This window comes from Homo sapiens, chromosome 7 (genome assembly GCF_000001405.40).
Source record: "Homo sapiens chromosome 7, GRCh38.p14 Primary Assembly".
Taxonomy (NCBI): Eukaryota; Metazoa; Chordata; class Mammalia; order Primates; family Hominidae; genus Homo; species Homo sapiens.
This window is the reverse complement of record NC_000007.14, coordinates 137105344-137125040: the sequence shown is the minus strand read 5'-3', so window position 1 is coordinate 137125040 and position 19697 is coordinate 137105344. Positions and strand designations below refer to the sequence as shown.

General features: G+C 34.6%; 1 long non-coding RNA gene across 1 annotated transcript in view, besides 2 other annotated features; it reads left to right on the top strand.

The window, feature by feature from the left end:
* LOC349160 (uncharacterized) overlaps positions 1–19697 on the top strand; it is a 265569-nt gene that overhangs the window by 39301 nt on the left and 206571 nt on the right. The gene's annotated exons all lie outside the window — the stretch shown is intronic.
* Positions 11352–11552: a silencer, noted in NCBI's record as "peak6772 fragment used in MPRA reporter construct". NCBI's record gives its function as "represses an SCP1 promoter by STARR-seq MPRAs in K562 erythroleukemia cells {active_cell/tissue: K562}" and the evidence as "EXISTENCE:reporter gene assay evidence [ECO:0000049][PMID:32103011]".
* Positions 13332–13532: a silencer, noted in NCBI's record as "peak6771 fragment used in MPRA reporter construct". NCBI's record gives its function as "represses an SCP1 promoter by STARR-seq MPRAs in K562 erythroleukemia cells {active_cell/tissue: K562}" and the evidence as "EXISTENCE:reporter gene assay evidence [ECO:0000049][PMID:32103011]".

Here is a 19697-nt window from a genome sequence, read left to right as displayed (position 1 = left end):
TGTGGTATCTTAAGAGGAAGAAAAGAAGAGGAGAAATAGGTTTTGGAGCACATATTATAATTTGTTTCTGCATATTCAGGATAAATTGCTAATAGAAAATCTGAATTATGAGGTCAGAAGCTCAGGAAGAAGCCCAGCATTTGAATTACAGGTTGACTAGCTCATCATTTAGTATGCAGATTGTATTTGAATTCATACAACTGAATACAATCACCTAAAGAATGTTTGTCATCTAAATATAAAGAAGATAGGAGATAAGCAGTTGATTAACACCAAATGTGTGTATTATATATATATGTATATATGTATGTATATATACTTCTTAAAGCATATATATACTTCTTAAAATGTTATACATATGCGTACTAAAAATAATTTGTTGTAAATCCATTGACTTATATTCAAAGTGACGAGATTTCTTTTTGCCATATATTTCTGTATTATCATAATTTATAATATTTGTTTTTTGTTCTTGTAACAAATTTCTCTGCAATTTTAGCTTAGATTTTACATTTAAATGTGTTTGGTGTTCACCAACAATTACTTCTTACCATAGTTTCTATATTCATCTTTTGATTATCTGGAATTTATTCTTAAATCATTCTAGAGGGTATTTTTGTTTCTTTCTTTTCTATTGATGTATGTTGCATTCTATGGCTTGAATTGTCCTGCAAATTTCTTGTGTTGCTACTTAGTCTGCAATGTGGCAGTATTTAAAGATGGTGCTTTAAGAGGCGATTGAATCATGAAGACTGCTCTCATGGATAGATTAATACACTCATGGATTAGTGAATTAATGGGTTGATGGATTAATGGTTTATGGGAATGGAACTGGGGAAGAGGATAGGAGACCTGAGCTAGGACACTCAGCCCCCTTTCCATGTGATGCTCTGCACCACCTCAAGAGTCTGCAGTCTCCACCAGTAAGAAGGCTTTCACTAGATGAGATCCCTCAATCTTGGACTTCTCAGCCTCCATCACTGTAAGAAATAAATTCTTTTTCTTTACGCATTACCCAGTTTGAGCTACTCTGTTATTAACAACAGAAAACAAACTGAGATATTGAATTTCTTTAGTCGCTGTATTTTTTAGACAGTCTGCTTAATGCTTTTCTACTTTAATGATAGCTTGGATGGAGATCAAACACTTGGATCCAGTGTTTTGATGTTGAGAGGCACGTGTTGCCCTGAATTTTCTGTCTTTACAAATTACTGGAAATTTTGCCAGAAAACCTATTAATATCTTTCCATCTTTTAGGAACTAAATATTATTTCCAGTCTGTCTTCTTAAGGATCTTTCTGTATTAAAGTTTTCCTGGCACTTCTTGGGATCATTCGTTGGTAGAGCAAGCTTTATTTCAAGAAATTAATCGTTAATTATACTTTTTTTTCCTTTTTTTCTGTTATCTTCATGGACACTGGATATATTTTATGTTGTCCCTTCTTCTTGTACTTCCCTTATGTTCCTGCTTTTTAATTGATCTCCTTTCCTTTTTATTTTCCCGTTATTTTCTTCATGCTGTTTTCTATATGTTCTTGATTGTGGTTTCAGTAATGTCTTTTTTTTTTCCCTCCTAATGTGATTCCATTTCTATAACAAGTACAGTTTATCTCTTTTATTTCCCAAGCCCCCTGAGCTTTGGAAACTAAATGTTTATCTCCTTTTTGCGTTTCTTATTTAAGAGCCTGCATGAGTGACTTGAGTCCTTTTTGTCCTTAGGCAATGGATTCGTTCGTTTCTTAATTTTTAATTTTTTAAAAAAATGTCATTATTTTAAATAATTTTTTTTTCAATTTACAAAAAACCAGTGGTACTTTTCTGACAACTAGAAATGTACTTCATTTGGGGGATATATTTCTTTTTTTCTTTTTACCGGGAGTGTGACCGGCCCATAATCATCTATTTTTGGTTTTTACTCATCTCTCAATGGAGACTGTTCTTGATGGAGAATAGATATAGTAATTCAATGGTGGAGAACAGAAAGACATAGGCATCTTTGATCTTCCTTGATTGCCTTTGAACATACTTTCATTCATGTTGTTGCAGATGCGAGTCCTGCCCCAGGCTAGAAAGAAGTCACTGCAGTGAAGCCTTTCATATAATAGGTATTTTTCGTGGTTATATAGCATTGATTTGTCGTTGACTGACCAAGATTGGAAACCTCAGAACTTCCTGACTCTCACGTATTGTCCTACATTTTGTCACAGTTATTAGCCTACTTTTTACAAAGATATTGTGTCTGCAGGTTTAGTGTTTGTTTCTCTGCTTCTTCTGCCAGTGTGGAATGAAGAACTGGTCTGCTCTTTTAATAAAAGAATAAATGACTTAGCATTTATTCCCATAGCATTCATTCAATAAATATTTATTAATCATAGAATGTCACTTTTATGGTACAAAAATGGCACAGCGACTTGCTGGCACAGTCAGAACTTTCTCACTCTGGACCCCCAAATCCCCATCTCCTGCTCAGCTTTGTAATTATGCTGAAGGATTTGGTGAGAATGCACTCCATGCAGATGTCATAATCAATTGAAAATCTATGAGACTGAGCTTGTTGTGTATAAAAATCAGCAAAAAGTCCAACAAAACAGGGATAATTGAGTGTGTTCTACACTAGTTGAAATCGTCTGAGGCCTGCTCTGTGTCCTGTCTTGGTTTCTTCCAACAACCAGGTCTGATTTTCACTGTCCTCAGCAACTCTGCACTGTGGTTTATACTAGCATTTGTTTTCTGACTTCCTTTTCTGTTAAAAGCTGTAGGCTCTGATCTGGTGCCCAGCTTTTTCCCCGCAAGCAGGTGCTGCTACCTGATTCTGATCCAAACACAATATGAAGCTTCTTTCTTCCACAATTCCTTTTTCACTCTACATCTTTTGAAGAAAAGAAGAAATACAAGATTTCATTGTTGTTGTTTGTTTGTTTTTGTTTTTTCAAAAAAACTGTTTCATGTGGTTCCGAGGAAAGCGTAAAACGTCAAGTTGATCCCCTGCCTCTCGATTTTCTAGCAGGAATTTACCTTGGAATTTATCACATTTCTGAGTTTGATCGTGTCAGTGTAGCAGAGCTGGTCAGGTTTGGTGATGCTGACTCATGCTCACATTTTCACACAAAATACAAAAGTTGAATGCTGATTTACTAAATTTCACTGGAAATTATGGCAATAAAGAGACAGAATGTTTATATCTCCCTAGTTGGTGCATTTTTTTTCTTGTGAACAGGCTACATATAAAGACAACTGATCAGAAGATAACTTGGTGAGCATGAATCAGAATAAAATTATTTAGTATGATGTCAAGAATGTTTAGTGGTGTCAGACCTAATGCCTTGGTGCTTCCATCTCTAGCATAGGACATCATCTACCAGGAAGACAGAATGCCTGTGATATCCTGAGTCTTCCAACACTGTCAGAGCTGAAACAATCTTAGCCAACAATTGCATCCAATTCTTTTTCCCCATGCTTCTTCAATAGGAAAAAGAACAAAAACTGTTTTAATTTGGTTCATGCATCATTATAATTTCTCATATTCTTTGTTTTCCTTCCTCCAGGCATGTGGCATGATTGCACATCCTCATCTTGTCGAAGTTAAGTATTATCATGTGATTTGCTTTGGCCAGTTAGTTGAGAGTGGAAGCCATTAAGAGCCAGCATGTGGTTTGCAACATTCTCTTTATCTTGCCAAAGTGATTAGTGAAGATTCCATTAACCTGTTTCTCTAAGTGAGGATGAGCAGGAGAAGAGCCACCATCAACCCAAAATTATAAGCAAAATATAAAACTTTGTATTTTTAAATCACTAACATTTGGGGACTGTTTGCTACCATGGCAAGATCTGGTTCATGCTGACTGATAGAGCTCCTAGTACACTGATATAGGGAGTGCTATGAAACAATTTCAATATGTGGTATTGACTTAATGGGTTAAATGGTAGATAGCAAGGACAATTTATTACAGACTAAAAGGGTAAGAGTCCTTGTTATGGAATGGCTAAATACTTGGTAAAAGGGGCAACTACAGAAACTTAGCAGGCAGTATGAGACATTCATATATGCTCTAGGCCCATAGTTAAGTTGAGAAAGACAGAGAGGCAAGGGGAAGAGAAAGCAAAAAATATTCAAAGTGAGAATTGTGACTCAAAAGAAACGGGTGTGGTCATTGCTCATAGAGCCAACTGCAATAAAATAGAGAAGCCAAAAATATGTTTGAGAGAATTGTGCTGTCAAAAGAGTCAACATTCGAAACTAAAATAGACCATGACTGAGACTTAAAAAGATCCTGGGGCTCCCAACTATCTACAGGCAAGAAGTGAGCTGAGGGAATTGCTCAGGTTCCAAGAAGAACATCTTGCTGATGTCCGATTCAGATATAGCCAAGGAGGCTTATGTAAAAAGAGAAGAATCACATAGCATGTGGATCCAGGGAGAAAATTCAACAAGTTAATGATTCCCAAAGAGGAGAATCAAGGACTATTCAAAAATCATATCCTACCAACTTATGGGGGAATCCTCAAAATGTCTTTTCAGAAGCTTTTCAGGATTTCTATAGATAAGTCTCTGTTATGTGGGACCAGTGTATGCTATGTGGCTCCCATTCTTCTTCTAGAATATTTACTGCAATTGTCTGTCATGGTTTCCTTATTATATTTAGGATTTTGGAAGAGTCCATGGGTCTTAAAATCAAGAAGATTCACATCCAGAACTAATATCAAGATATTATACAAGTCTATCCTCATTCTTTTATCCTAGGTTGTAAAATTGATGCCATGACTGGAAAGACTTTTGGATTGCTTCCCTTGGTGGAGGTGGAGGACATATTTTGTATATGGGAAAAATAGAGAGCCAAATGTTTTCTTACCAGAAGTCTAGACTGTGGAAGTCATTAGAACTGTTGGCGGATCTTTTAGTTCTCCCCCTTCTGCAAACCTGAGAGGATTGGAATCCTTCTATCTTTGATGATAGCCATGGCCATTAGGCTTGGCTTTGGTTAATGAATTATGAGTAGACATAATTTGTGTGACTTCCAGAAAAAAAAGTATTTAATAGCAATTACGTGTTTTGTTATGTTCCTCTCTCCCTGGTGACTGGCAAAGTCCCAGATGGTGGAAGCTCCGCCATCTTGAGTTCCTGTGTGACTGAGGTGAGATGAGCATGTTGCATGAGCAATAAGTAAAACAAGCAATGTTTTAGCCACTTGAATTTTGGAAGTGTTTTTACTGTGGCACAACATAATACAGCCTGAATGTTCTAACTTCAAACTAGATAGCAACAAATAAAAGAAATATGTCGAGGAATTAATCCATTTCTTCTAGATTTTCTAGTTTATTTGCGTAGAGGTGTTATAAATGGTGCTGGGAAAACTGGCTAGCCATATGTAGAAAGCTGAAACTGGATCCCTTCCTTACACTTTATACAAAAATCAATTCAAGATGGATTAAAGATTTAAACGTTAGACCTAAAACCATAAAAACCCTAGAAGAAAACCTAGGCATTACCATTCAGGACATAGGCATGGGCAAGGACTTCATGTCTAAAACACCAAAAGCAATGGCAACAAAAGACAAAATTGACAAATGGGATCTAATTAAACTAAAGAGCTTCTGCACAGCAAAAGAAACTACCATCAGAGTGAACAGGCAACCTACAAAATGGGAGAAAATTTTCACAACCTACTCATCTGACAAAGGGCTAATATCCAGAATCTACAACGAACTCAAACAAATTTACAAGAAAAAAACAAACAACCTCATCAAAAAGTGGGCGAAGGTCATGAACAGACACTTCTCAAAAGAAGACATTTATGCAGCCAGAAAACACATGAAAAAATGCTCACCATCACTGGCCATCAGAGAAATGCAAATCAAAACCACAATGAGATATCATCTCACACCAGTTAGAATGGCGATCATTAAAAAGTCAGGAAACAACAGGTGCTGGAGAGGATGTGGAGAAATAGGAACACTTTTACACTGTTGGTGGGACTGTAAACTAGTTCAACCATTGTGGAAGTCAGTGTGGCGATTCCTCAGGGATCTAGAACTAGAAATACCATTTGACCCAGCCATCCCATTACTGGGTATATACCCAAAGGACTAGAAATCATGCTGCTATAAAGACACATGCACACGTATGTTTATTGTGGCATTATTCACAATAGCAAAGACTTGGAACCAACCCAAATGTCCAACAATGATAGACTGGATTAAGAAAATGTGGCACATATACACCATGGAACACTATGCAGCCAGAAAAAACGATGAGTTCATGTCCTTTGTAGGGACATGGATGAAATTGGAAATCATCATTCTCAGTAAACTATCACAAGAACAAAAAACCAAACACTGCATATTCTCACTCATAGGTGGGAACTGAACAATGAGATCACATGGACACAGGAAGGGAATATCACACTCTGGGGACTGTGATGGGGTGGGGGGAAGGGGGAGGGATAGCATTGGGAGATATACCTAATGCTAGATGACGAGTTAGTGGGTGCAGTGCACCAGCATGGTACATGTATACATATGTAACTAACCTGCACAATGTGCACATGTACCCTAAAACTTAAAGTATAATTTAAAAAAAAGAAAAAAAAAAAGAAATATTGTAGCACATTTTCCTCAAGATTTCTGGAATCCCAAACAAAATATTAGCAAAGGAAACTCAATATTTACCAAAAACGCACTATAAAAAAGTTAGATGCATCTCAGGAATGCAATGATGTTTTAATATAAGAAAATGTGTAAATTTAATTCACTGAATTAATAGATAACTGGAAATAGCCATCTCCTCATCTCAATAGACACAGAATAAATAAGTGACAAAATTCAAGAGCCATTCACAGTAAAACTCTCAATAAACTAGAAATGGAAGGAAACTAATTTAATCTGATACAAGAAAACAACAAAAAATTCTTCAACAGGCACAATTATAAATGGGAAACAAATTATTTTCTTTAGATTTAGAAATAAGACAGGCATTCCCACTTTTCTACTTCTATTTAATCCTATATTAAAAGTCCTAGAATTTGGAGCGAGATATTTATCCAAAATATTTATCTAAGCTATCTAGCCTAAAATAAGGGCATAAGAAGAAAGGAAGAAATAAAAGTGTTATTTGCATATAAACCTGTTTTCATAGAAAATTTAAAATACCTAGAGATGAGTCAATAGAATTTAAGCAAGATTGCTAAATTTAAGCAGATTGATATTTGTGTGTGAGATTTGTGTGTGTTTATCTCACACACAAATATCAATACATATCCAGTCACCAGCAACAAATAATTAGAAAGCATAACAACAAATAAAAAAGATACCACCATTTATAACAACAATAAAAACTACAAGAATAAATCCACCAAATGATGTTCAAAATGTGCACATTAAAATTATATAACTTGATGGAAGAGCATTAAAATTACTTAAATGGAAGGAGTGATATTATATGTTAATAAATAACAAAATCTAGTATTGTAGTGATGGTAGCTCCCTCAAAGTGATCTATAGATTAAATACATCTTCAATGAAAATCCCAACAAAGACATTTTATGAAAATTGACCATTTGATTATAAAATGTTTATGGTGCACAGGGGACCTCAGTAGTTAAGATAATCTTAAAAAGTGTCAAGAGAGGAAAACTTGCTCTAACAGATATAAAGACATAAAATAATAGGGAACGAGAGATTGAAGTATTAGGACATGGATAGGAATGTTGATGAATATAAGTGAAAAAGCAATAACCGACCCAACCACAATTGGAAATGAGGTATATCTCAGAGATACATTGCCAGCCAAAGGAGAAATATAGGCTTAGTTAATGGGTGTGGTGTCTGTACACATGGAAAAAAGTGAAAATAGATACTGCAGTATGGCATACTGAAACATCAGTCCCAAAGGGACAAAACCATTTAATATCAAAACCATAACACATCTAAAAGAAAATGCATGAAGTAAGAATAGACAAGTGTATTAAATAAAATATAAGAAGTATTAGCTTTAAGTGAAACAAAATTGATAATTTAGACTGTATTAAAATTAAGGGATTATCTTTATGAAAAGGCATCTTAAAGAAAGGTGGAAATGTAAGCTGTAAGTTAAGAAAAGCTATTGCTATATATAAAGTTGAAACAAAATTAGTATTGTTATCATTACTGATAATAACAATAAGAGATATTCAGAATAAAGAGAAGAAAATGAGTAACACTAGAAATACTGACAATGGCTATGAGTAAATATAATACAAAGAAAAACTTGTATAATCAATAAATTGAGAAGTTTATCATCTCTGGAAATCCAGTAATCTAGAAATGCAAATCACAATCTCAATACAATAGTATTTTACAACTATTTCCTTGTCAAAAATGAAGATATCTGAAAATCCCACATATTCCAAAGGGTATGAATGAATGAAATCTTCTTAGACATTAGGGTGAGAGTGTCAATTGTTAGGACCCAGTTTGATGGACTAGTTTGCATTACCTTTGGAAGTTGAACATTCGCATATTCTGTGATGCAGAACTTCTACTCCTCTGTGTTGCCAAGAGAATTTTAGGATATATGGTCCAGGATGTGTGCATAAGAATTCATAATTTCCATGTTCATAATAACAAAACTCTGGTAAAAGAAGTGTTCATTGAGATAAATGAGTATAAATTCATATAGTCACTAAACAATGTTATACAGTATTTGAAATGAATGAGCTCCAATTACATATAATAACAGAGAAATTTTAGTTCTATAATGCTAAGTGAATAAAAGCAAGCATTAAGAACATATAACATGTTGTTTATGTAAAGTTCCAAGACTAGCAATAAAACAAGATATGTATGTAAATTATGATGTTTAAAAAAGGCCAAAATTTAATAAACTTAAAATTTAGGATGAGGGCGATATGAGATGTGTTATTGGAGGAATACACAGGTAGATAGATATGATATTGATAACACTTTAGTTTTTAGTTTGGGCAATGTATTTATAGGTATTCACTATTAATAAGTGAAAATTTTAAAAATCCAAATAAAATCAAGAGATCTATGAATGGACCATTAACAATAAACATGGAACAAGGATTATATTTACTATACTTGACCTAATTCTGTGCATCTGTTTGTGTATTTATGTTTAAAAAATAATTACAAATATATTATACACACACATGCACACACACACACATAATATTCACTTCCTACAAAGGTTAAAACAGTAAGGTCTTGGCCAACTCTCCTGACTATTTCAGCCGCCCAGATCCCCAAAAGCAGTACACAGTTTTCTTTTCTGAAAAGTCTTTTCCTCATTATTCATCTTCTTTCCTGCTTTCAAAATTGTGTTGCAGTCTCCTCTATTGTTTACCTTGTCTTCCATTCCCTTTATCCTGTGGGTTAACACTGAAACAAAAAAGCCCTTCTACTATTCTTTTACTGGGATTTTCAGAAGATGACATACTTTCTATTTCTATTCAGTGATTTTTAACCATGTAAGTCTAAAACATGTTCAGGTGACTCCAAGCCAGTCCCTGCTTTAGGGGAGGTTGGAATATATTCTTCATAGACAGTTCTTTTCCTCCGTACGTGTGTGTGTGTGTAGGTAGGTAGAATCATAAAATAGATAAATACAATAAAATATAAATGATGGCATAAATGAGCAAGTAATGTTTATTTTATAAGGTGAAAAAGAAAACTGATGGATTATCTAATATACTTTGGACACATTGAGATTCACGCTTCTGTCTGACTTTGAGGTTGCATTAAAAATATGTACACAAATGTGAAATAAATGGGGAATATAAATCTATACAATAAAAAAGTGAAAAATAATAAACCACCTGACTTAACTATGAAAAACATTGGCATGCTTATAATGTTATTAATGTGGAATGACTACAAATGAGTATTTTGATAAAAACATATTTTTTGAAATAGAGTCACTGTGAGTGCAGGTTTAGTAGTTGATATAAAAGAAATAAGTTCTCATTTTCTATGGTAGGAGATAAATGGAAAATCAGACATAATAATGTGGCTTATTTGAAAATAAGGCTCTAAATACTAGAAGGTCCTATAAGCTCCCTCAAGAAGCAGAATATTTGAGCATGTGGGGAAAGCAGGAGATAACTGGAATTCATTTTAATGTCTCATATATTTTTAGGTTTATTTTATTAAAATCTTTGCTTATGTCTTGCAATGGCTTGAGAGCCAGAGTCCCTTGTAGAGGTATTTTCAGTTCTCAGGATGTTCCTCTTTCCCATGGTTTTGAAAAACTTTGTCACCCAGCATAAGGCCTATAGTGCTCATACCTTTACTTCTTGAATACATACAAACAATTTCAAAAGTTATTTATTAATCAGTTAGGAAGAGGCAGTGGCGCAAGCTATACATTTTGAAATATGGATATAAAATGTATATGAGATATGGAATTATGGCTATAAGTACACTCCAAATAAATCCAGACATAATCAACTGGCCATGGATTCACAGGAAAAAAAATGCATGACAAAGTATGATGTAAACAGCTAAATGTTATAAATGTTATAAAACATAAAGTCTCTTTTCATGTGCAACTGTATATTACTTATACAGGGGTACAAAGAATGTAAAGAGAAGCTTTAAAAACCACAAAGAACTTAAATACACATGTGTATATATATAATATATATATATATTTACACATACATGCACACATATACAGGGTAAGAAAGAACCATTCCTAGTCACAAACATTCACATCCATATGTGTGTGTATATACATATATATGCATGTTTTATGTGCATTGATAGTCAAATACAATGAAGAAAAGAGAATTATTTCATAGTACATACAAATGTATTGTTATTGTTAGACTTGTAGACAGATGAGCAGAAACTCATTTTAAATCCCACATACGGTTTGACTATATTTATAAATATCACAGGCTAACACCCCCCCCCCACACACACACACACACATAGGTACAGAAATAAAAAAAGTGGTCTGCCCTTAAAAGTATTAAAATATTAATACTTATGGATATGTGATGATAACTAGGCATGAGTGACGTGATCGATAGATAGAATGAGGAGATATCTACACATCAAAGCAGTAGGGTAGGAGAGAATGAAATTAGAAAGATTTACAAAAAATAACAGTGACATTAAAATGTTTAAGGTACCATCAGAAATTAGAAGTGTTCTGTGTACAAACTAATCTTACATCTCTAGATATATGGAAGTGTTTTTTTAATGTCTGTTTACTTTTCTTAGCTTATAAAAATGTGTGAGCCCCAATCTGGGAAGTTGTGAAATAACAATCAAGAATAATAATTGGTGTCAGAATGGTGTTGTCCAGCACTGGGATTTCCTTTAAAGAATTAACCTAACAGTGGAGAACTTAGCAAAACCGAAGTGTGAATTTTCAGTATTAGAAGACTGAAGATTTAAGGCATGTCTGGGATTGAAGATTTAAGGCAGAAATAATCAGAAATCGCAAGGGAACACTTTTTGTTGTTGCTATTTTCAGTGCATTTTCACTGATTCTTATCAACATATTGCTCCTTTTTCCTTTCTGCTCTTTTGACAGAGAATATCTGCAATTGCTTGTAATATAGGTATTTTCCAGTATACACGATGTAACGTAAAAACATGTGCACACTGAGGAATAATAGTTTTGTATCCATTGTCCTGTTGTGTAGTCTCGAAATAACAATTTTGCTTTGTTTCTTAATCTATAATACTGAGGACCTTAAAAAGTACCTTTTAAACTCAGGTGTTAAAAATTTCACAAGGTATTTGTTACCTGAAATATGTAGATTACTTTCTTTCTGAAATTCCTTAAGAGGGAAGGTAGATAGATGGGAGCTTAATATCCATGCTATGAATCATGATGCATTCTCACCAGGAACAATATTGCAGCTGTAGTTGAAAGTTGTTTACATGAAGCTCACATGTGGACTTCAGATAAATCAGCAGTTTTCAATGGGGATAACATCAATTCTTAAAAGATACTTTGTTGGAGTAATCATGGTTGTCACAATATTTTAGGTGCTACTGGCATTTGGAAGGGCTTAGGAGTATTAGACTGTTAGACATTTAAATGGTTAAAAAAAGAAAGAAAAGTTGCCGATAGTAGAAGCCAACTCATGTAAATAGAAAAAATTTACAAGATTGTTCACTATTTTAGAATATTACTGACAGAAATATCACTTATAATATTTGGTTCACTAATACACACCCCTGTATCACTCAACAATTTTAACCACATAATTCAGTGACTTGACATAGAACTTCAAATCTCTGACTACTTGATTATGTTTTTCTGTGTAGTTCATCCTAATTTTACATCATGAAATACAAATTGTTTTATTATAAATTACTTTCCTTTGGCTAGACTCCAATTATCCAAGTATTTTAAAACATAATTTAAATTTATTAAAACTCACCAAATATGTTTAAATCCAAAATCAAAAGCCCTGAACTTCCAAAAGCATTGTTAAGAATTTGAAAAGGCAAACCACAGACTGAAAGAAAATATCCATAATATATATATCTGATTTGTATCCAGAATAAATAAAGAATTTTTAGTTCTCAATAAGGAGAATACATACACCAATGAAAGTTTTAAAATCCAACAAAGATATGCACAGATATTTCACTAAGGAGGATACAAATAGCCAACAGGCAAAATACGTTTAATATCTTTAGTCATTAGATAAATACAAGTTAAAATCACGACAAAGTAAGATGACACAGTAAAATGGCTATCATTGAAAAGACTGACAAGGTCAAGTGTTAGTGATGAACTAGTGCTCCTGAAGCTTTTACCAATTGGTGGGAATGCAAAATGGCACAGCCATTATGGAAAACTGTTTGGCAATTTCTTATAAAGTTAAACCTATTCTTTTCACACGAACTTGAAATCTTACACCTAAACATTTTTTCCAAGTGAAATACATCATGTGTCCCCACAACAACTTGTACAAAAACATTCGTAGCCGCTTTAATAATAGTAACTCCAAAGTGGGGAAACAAAAACAAACCCAAATTCCCATAACAGGTAAATTATACATAAATTGAAGGATATCCATGCAATTTAATATTATTCAACAATGGATGGTATTTGAATCAAGAAAATGGAACACATTACTGAAACAATCACTTGGATGAATTTCAAAACATGCTCTGTTAAGGAAGCTAGACACAAAACAGTTCAAATTATTTCTGTGTATATGAAATAATTGAAAATACAAAACTCATTTACAGTGATAGAAAGAGGGTTAGTGGTTGCCTCAGGCTGTTTATGGCAATGGTGATGAGCTTAAGGGAGCAAGAAGGAATGTTTTGAGCATCAATATATTTGATTCTAAAATAGTTTAACTTTAAAACTATTAAAGCAGGATATAGTTCAGCTTTTTTTTCTAGATGTCACAAATAAGATGTGACCAGACAGTACCAATAGCTTGCTCTTGCTCACTTGCATGTTTGTCCTTATATATACCATGTGCTTATTATCATCAAAGTTACCTCGAAGTTTATGGCTTTATTTTTTGTTGCACACATTATTTCCATATATTGACATGGTCTCTGCCTTCACAATTACCAACACATGGCCAACCATAGAGCTCTGAAATCTGACTTGAAACTCATCTCTTTCAAAAGATTTCTTCAATTAACCTCTCCTTTCTGGAGCCTTTATTCAACATGACCCAGGATTTAAGAAATAATCCTTAATTTATGCTGCAGGATTTTAACATACCTACCGATTTTTTTTATGTTACATCTAGGACTTGTGTGGCCTTTTGTCACTATTATCTATACTATTAGGACTCAATAAACAATTATCTGCTCAATCATTGAAAAATAATATATCTCTATCTATCAGAAATATATATGTATATATATGCACACACACCATTTCTGTAATATATATGTACATATGTATATAGTATTTCTGATATGTACACATACAATTTCTGTAATATTTATGTGTAATATATATACTACTTCTGTTGCATGTATATTTGTGTGTGTGTATATATATATATATAGTTTGAAACTATATATATCTTTCTTGGAAAGAGTTAGTGTACTTTTTTTATCTTGTATGTCCTTGAAAATATGTGCTATTAAACTGTATGTTTTGCCAAACTCAGATAGATTTCTTCTGGAATATTGTCTAATTTTCTTTTCTCTCTTTGTCATCTCTTGGGTCAGTGATAGATGGCTGAGTTTTGCTTCTTTAAATCCCAAATCCCAACTGAAGGTATTGCTTCATTACACTGTCAAATGCCTCAATGTCTCAATGCCATTATACATATTTCATAACTTCCTAGGTTTACACATACTTCTATTCCTTGTCATATTTAGTAATCTCTGAAGTATCTGCATGATTCTCTTTGGGGCAGTTTCTCTCCCATTTTCAATTTTCTTTCTACTGCCTACCTATGTACTATGAGAACTCCCCCACCCATCCCCTGCCCAGAAAATTGCTTCTGTGTAGAAGATCCTGCTATCTTGGGTAAAATGGTCAGAAAGTACAAACTGCAATCTGGTCCTTTCTAAACGGAGATCTGATTACCCAGCTGGCTCCAGAGAATACAAACATTTTCACTCTGGACAGTACTTATCTGTTTTTTGCAAGTACATCACTTTGGAAAGCTACTTGCTCAGCTAATCTGTAACTGTCATGGAAATGTAATTTTTCCCTCCTCCAAACCAATAACAGGCACCTGGTAAGACTGCCTTATGCACCCATGCATTCAAGTCTAACTGTTTCCATGGAAACCTTTAAAATCCCATGCAAGGTTCCCAGCATTTTGCCATATTTCCCTTTTCTTTATGCTACTCTCTCTATCCATTTCTTTAGTGTCCTTGCATGCGATTACAGCACTCTGCCACTACTCTGTAATAGATTTCTCTTCCATTCTTGCCCTTGTCAGTGATTCATTTTTGCCGCGTTAGGAGGGCAGAGACTAGAGCTTATTCACATGTGTAGCCTCTTCAGTACTTAGTCCGGCATCTTAGACTTAATGGGCATGCAAAGCATATTTGTTGAGCTGCATTAGATTAAGAGCTTATTGTCTTAATCAGTTTTACTGATTAAAACATGCTCATTAAGAACTTCTTCAGCAGAATGATTGGAAAGATAAAATGAGCCTGCTGACTGAATATAGTGTTTAAACCACCAATTTAGATATTTCCAAACTAAATTTAAATTTTCAGTCAGTTCTCCCTCAAATCTTAAAGTCTGTACAATTTAGAAATGAAGGAAAGCAAATTAATATTGATTGAGAAGCTATTAAATAATATTTTAATTTCCATTTCTCTGTGAATTAAGTATTGTTATCCACGATTTACAGATAATAAACTTAAGGTCACAGTACTGAATAACTTTTCAGAGAGACCACACAACCAGTAAATGATGGAGTGCTTTTTCATCCAACATATTGAGTGTCCCCCTTGTTTCCTTTTAGGCTTACTTTTATGAATTTAAACATAGGGATCTTCAATCTGAAAATAATGAAGGTCAATTATAATAACATAGCACCTCCCTGTGAGCCATACGGTGAGAACTCACAATTATGCAAAACATTGTCCAAGAAGCATAATTTAAAGGCAAAGCAAACAACTAAAAAAAAAAACTAAAACCATTAGTCACAACAAAAAAGGCAGTTCTGATGTTGGTAAGGATATGGAGAAAAGGGAACGTTTATACATTATTTGTGGGTAGGTAAATGAGTACAACCTGTGTGGAAAACAGTATGGACATTTCTCAAAGCATTGAAAACAGAACTACCATTTGACCCAGCAATCCCAGCACTAGGTGTTCACCTAAAGGAAAATAAATTACTATATTTTAAAAAAGCACCTATACTCATATGTTTATTGCAACACTTATTCACAATGGTAAAGTCATGGAATCAGCCTAAATGTCCCTCAACAGATTATTGGATAAAGAAAATGTGGTGTACATATATTATACCGTGGAATACTACTCAGCCACAAAAAAGGATGAAATCATGTCTTTTACAGTGACATGGATGAACTGGAGGCCATTATCCTAGGTGAAATAACTCAAAAACAGAAAGCAGAAAGTCAAATACTGTATGATCTCACTTACAATTGGAAACTAAGCAATGTACACAAGGACATACAGAGGGAATAATAGACATTAGAGCCCCCAAAATGGGAAGGTGGGAGGGGGTGAAGGATGAGAAATTACCTATAGAGTACAATGTAACAATGTACACTACTTGTACATTGTGCCTGTAGTGTACCCATCAAACTAAAAGCCTAGACTTCAACACTATGCAATATATATATGTAACAAAACTGTACTTTTACCCCCTAAATCCATAAAAAATAAAAATAAACAAGTCCTGGAAAAAAGCAGTTGTTGAAAATTCTAAACTTTACCTGTGTTGAGGTGGGTGTGAATGCTTGGGATCATTGGTTTAGACATTTGATCCAATAAGGAAACCAGTGGCACACAGAGGATGCTGAGAATGAGGAGATATGCAGGCAGCTAAAAGTAGAGAAGTCAGGAGGTATAATAAAAGCTGACTGAAGAATTAGGTATGTATACTATCCTAGACACGTTAGACAGGGAAGAAGAGCTTTAAATGGTTCAAAAGTCTTGAAAACCATGATCTCACTACAATATATGTAATATTTATAATAATTATTCTGAATTATTTCAAAAATGGACATCCTAAATGGCAAAAAATAATAAAACAAGGAAGTATTGAGGGAAAATAAAGTTTTTTAAAATTATACTTTAAGTTCTGGGATACATGTACAGAACATGCAGGTTTGTTACATAGGTATACACATGCCATAGTGGTTTGCTGCACCCATCAACCCGTCACCTACGTTAGGTATTTCTCCTAATGCTATTTCTCCCCTAGCCCCCTACCTCCTGACAGGCCCCAGTGTGTGATGTTCCCTTCTCTGTGTCCATGTGTTCTCATTGTTCAACTCCCACTTATGAGTGAGAACATGTGGTGTTTGGTTTTCTGTTTCCGTGTTAGTTTGCTGAGAATGATGGTTTCCAGCTTATCCATATACCTGCAAAGGACATGAACTCATCCTTTTTTATGGCTGCATAGTATTCCATGGTGTATATGTGCCACATTTTCTTTGTTCAGTCTATCATTGATGGGCATTTGGGTTGGTTCCGAGTCTTTGGTATTGTGAATAGTGCTGCAATAAACATATGTGTGCATGTGTCTTTATAGTAGAATGATTTATAATCCTTTGGGCATATACCCAGTAATGGGATTGCTGGGTCAAATGGTATTTCTGGTTCTAGATCCTTGAGGAATTGCCATACTGTCTTCCACAATGGTTGAACTAATTTACACTCCCAGCAATAGTGTAAAAGTGTTCCTATTTCTCCACATCCTCTCCAGCATCTGTCGTTTCCTGACTTTTTAATGATTGCCATTTTAACTGGAGTGAGATGGTATCTTATTGTGGTTTTGATTTGCATTTCTCTAATGACCAGTGATGATGAGCTTTTTTTCATAGTTTCTTGGCCACATAAATGACTTTTTTGAGAAGTTTCTGTTCATGTCCTTCACCAACTTCTTGATGGGGTGGTTTGTTTTTTCTTGTAAATTTATTTAAGTTCCTTGTAGATTCTGGATATTTGCCCTTTGTCAGATCAGTAGATGGCAAAAATTTCCTCCCATTCTGTAGGTTGCCTGTTCACTCTGATAATAGTTTCTTTTGCTATGCAGAATCTCTTTAGTTTAATTAGATCCCATTTGTCAATTTTGGCTTTTGTTGCCCTTGCTTTTGGTATTTTAGTCATGAAGTCCTTGCCCATGCCTGTGTCCTGAATGGTATTGCCTAGGTTTTCTTCTAGGGTTTTTATGGTTTTAGGTCTAACATTTAAGTCTTTAATACATCTTGAGTTAATTTTTGTATAAGTTGTAAGGAAGGGTTCCAGTTTCAGTTTTCTGCATATGGCTAGCCAGTTTTCCCAACACCATTTATTAAATAGGTAACCTTTCCCCATTGCTTGTATTTGTCAGGTTTGTCAAAGATCAGATGGTTGCAGATGTGTGGCGTTATTTCTGGGGCCTCTGTTCTGTTCCGTTGGTCTATATGTCTGTTTTGGTGCAAGTAGCATGCTGTTTTGGTTACTGTAGCCTTGTAGTATAGTTTAAGGTCAGGTAATGTGATGCCTCCAGCTTTGTTCTTTTTGCTTAGGATTGTCTTGGCTATATGGGCTCTTTTTTGGTTCCATATGAAATTTAAAGTAGTTTTTTTCAAATTCTATGAAGAAAGTCAATGGTAGCTTGACGGGAATAGCATTGAATCTATAAATTACTTTGGGCAGTATGGCCATTTTCATGATATTGATTCTTCCTATCCACGAGCATGGAATGTTTTACCATTTGTTTGTGTCCTCTCTTATTTCCTTGAGAAGTAGTTTGTAGTTCTCCTTGAAGAGGTCCTTCACATCCCTTGTAAGTTGTATTCCTAGGTATTTGAATCTCTTTGTAGCAATTGTGAATGGGAGTTCACTCATGATTTGGCTCTCTGTTTGTCTATCATTGGTGTATAGGAATGCTTGTGATTTTTGCATGTTGATTTTGTGTCCTTAGACTTTGCTGAAGTTGCTTATCAACTTCAGGAGATTTTGGGCTGAGGCAATGGGGTTTTCTAAATTTACAATCATGCCATCTGCAAACAGAGACAATTTGACGTCTTCTCTTTATATTTGAATACCCTTTATTTCTTCCTCTTGCCTGATTGCCCTGGCCAGAACATCCAATACTATGTTGAATAGGAGTGGTGAGGGAGGGCATCCTTGTCTTGTGCTGGTTTTCAAAGGGAATGCTTCCAGATTTTGCCCATTCAGTATGATATTGGCTGAGGGTTTGTCATAAATAGCTCTTAATATTTTGAGATACATTCCATCAATACCTAGTTTATTGAGAGTTGTTAGCATGAAGGGGTGTTGAATTTTATTGAAGGCCTTTTCTGCATCTATTGAGATAATTGTCATTGGTTCTGTTTATGTGATGGATTACGTTTATTGATTTGTGTATGTTGAACCAGCCTTGCATCCCAGAGATGAAGCCAACTTGGTTGTGGTGGATAAGCTTTTTGATGTGCTGCTGGATTTGGTTTGCCAGTATTTTACTGAGGATTTTTGCGTCGATGTTCATCAGGGATATTGGCCTGAAATTTTGTTTTTTTGATGTGTCTCTTCCAGGTTTTGGTTTCAGGATGATGCTGGCTTTATAAAATGAGTTAGAGAGGAGTACCTCTTTTCCTGTTGTTTGCAATAGTTTCAGGAGGAATGGTACCAGCTCCTCTTTGTACCTCTGGTAGAATTCGGCTGTGAAGCCATCTCTTCCTGGGCTTTTTTTTGTTGTTGTTGTTGTTTGGTTGGTAGGCTATTAATTACTGCCTCAATTTCAGACCTTGTTATTGGTCTATTCAGGGATTCGACTTCTTCCTGATTTAGTCTTGGGAGGGTGTATATGTCCAGGAATTTATCCATTTCTTCTAGATGCTCTGGTTTATTTGCGTTAAGGTGTTTATAGTATTCTCAGATGTTAGTTTTTATTTCTGTGGGATCAGTGGTGATCTCCCCTTTATCATTTTTATTGTGTCTATTTGTTTCTTCTCTCTTTTCTTCTTTAGTAGTCTGGCTAGCAGTCTATCTATTTTGTTAATCGTTTCAACAATCCAGCTCCTGGATTCATTGATTTTTTGAAGGGTTT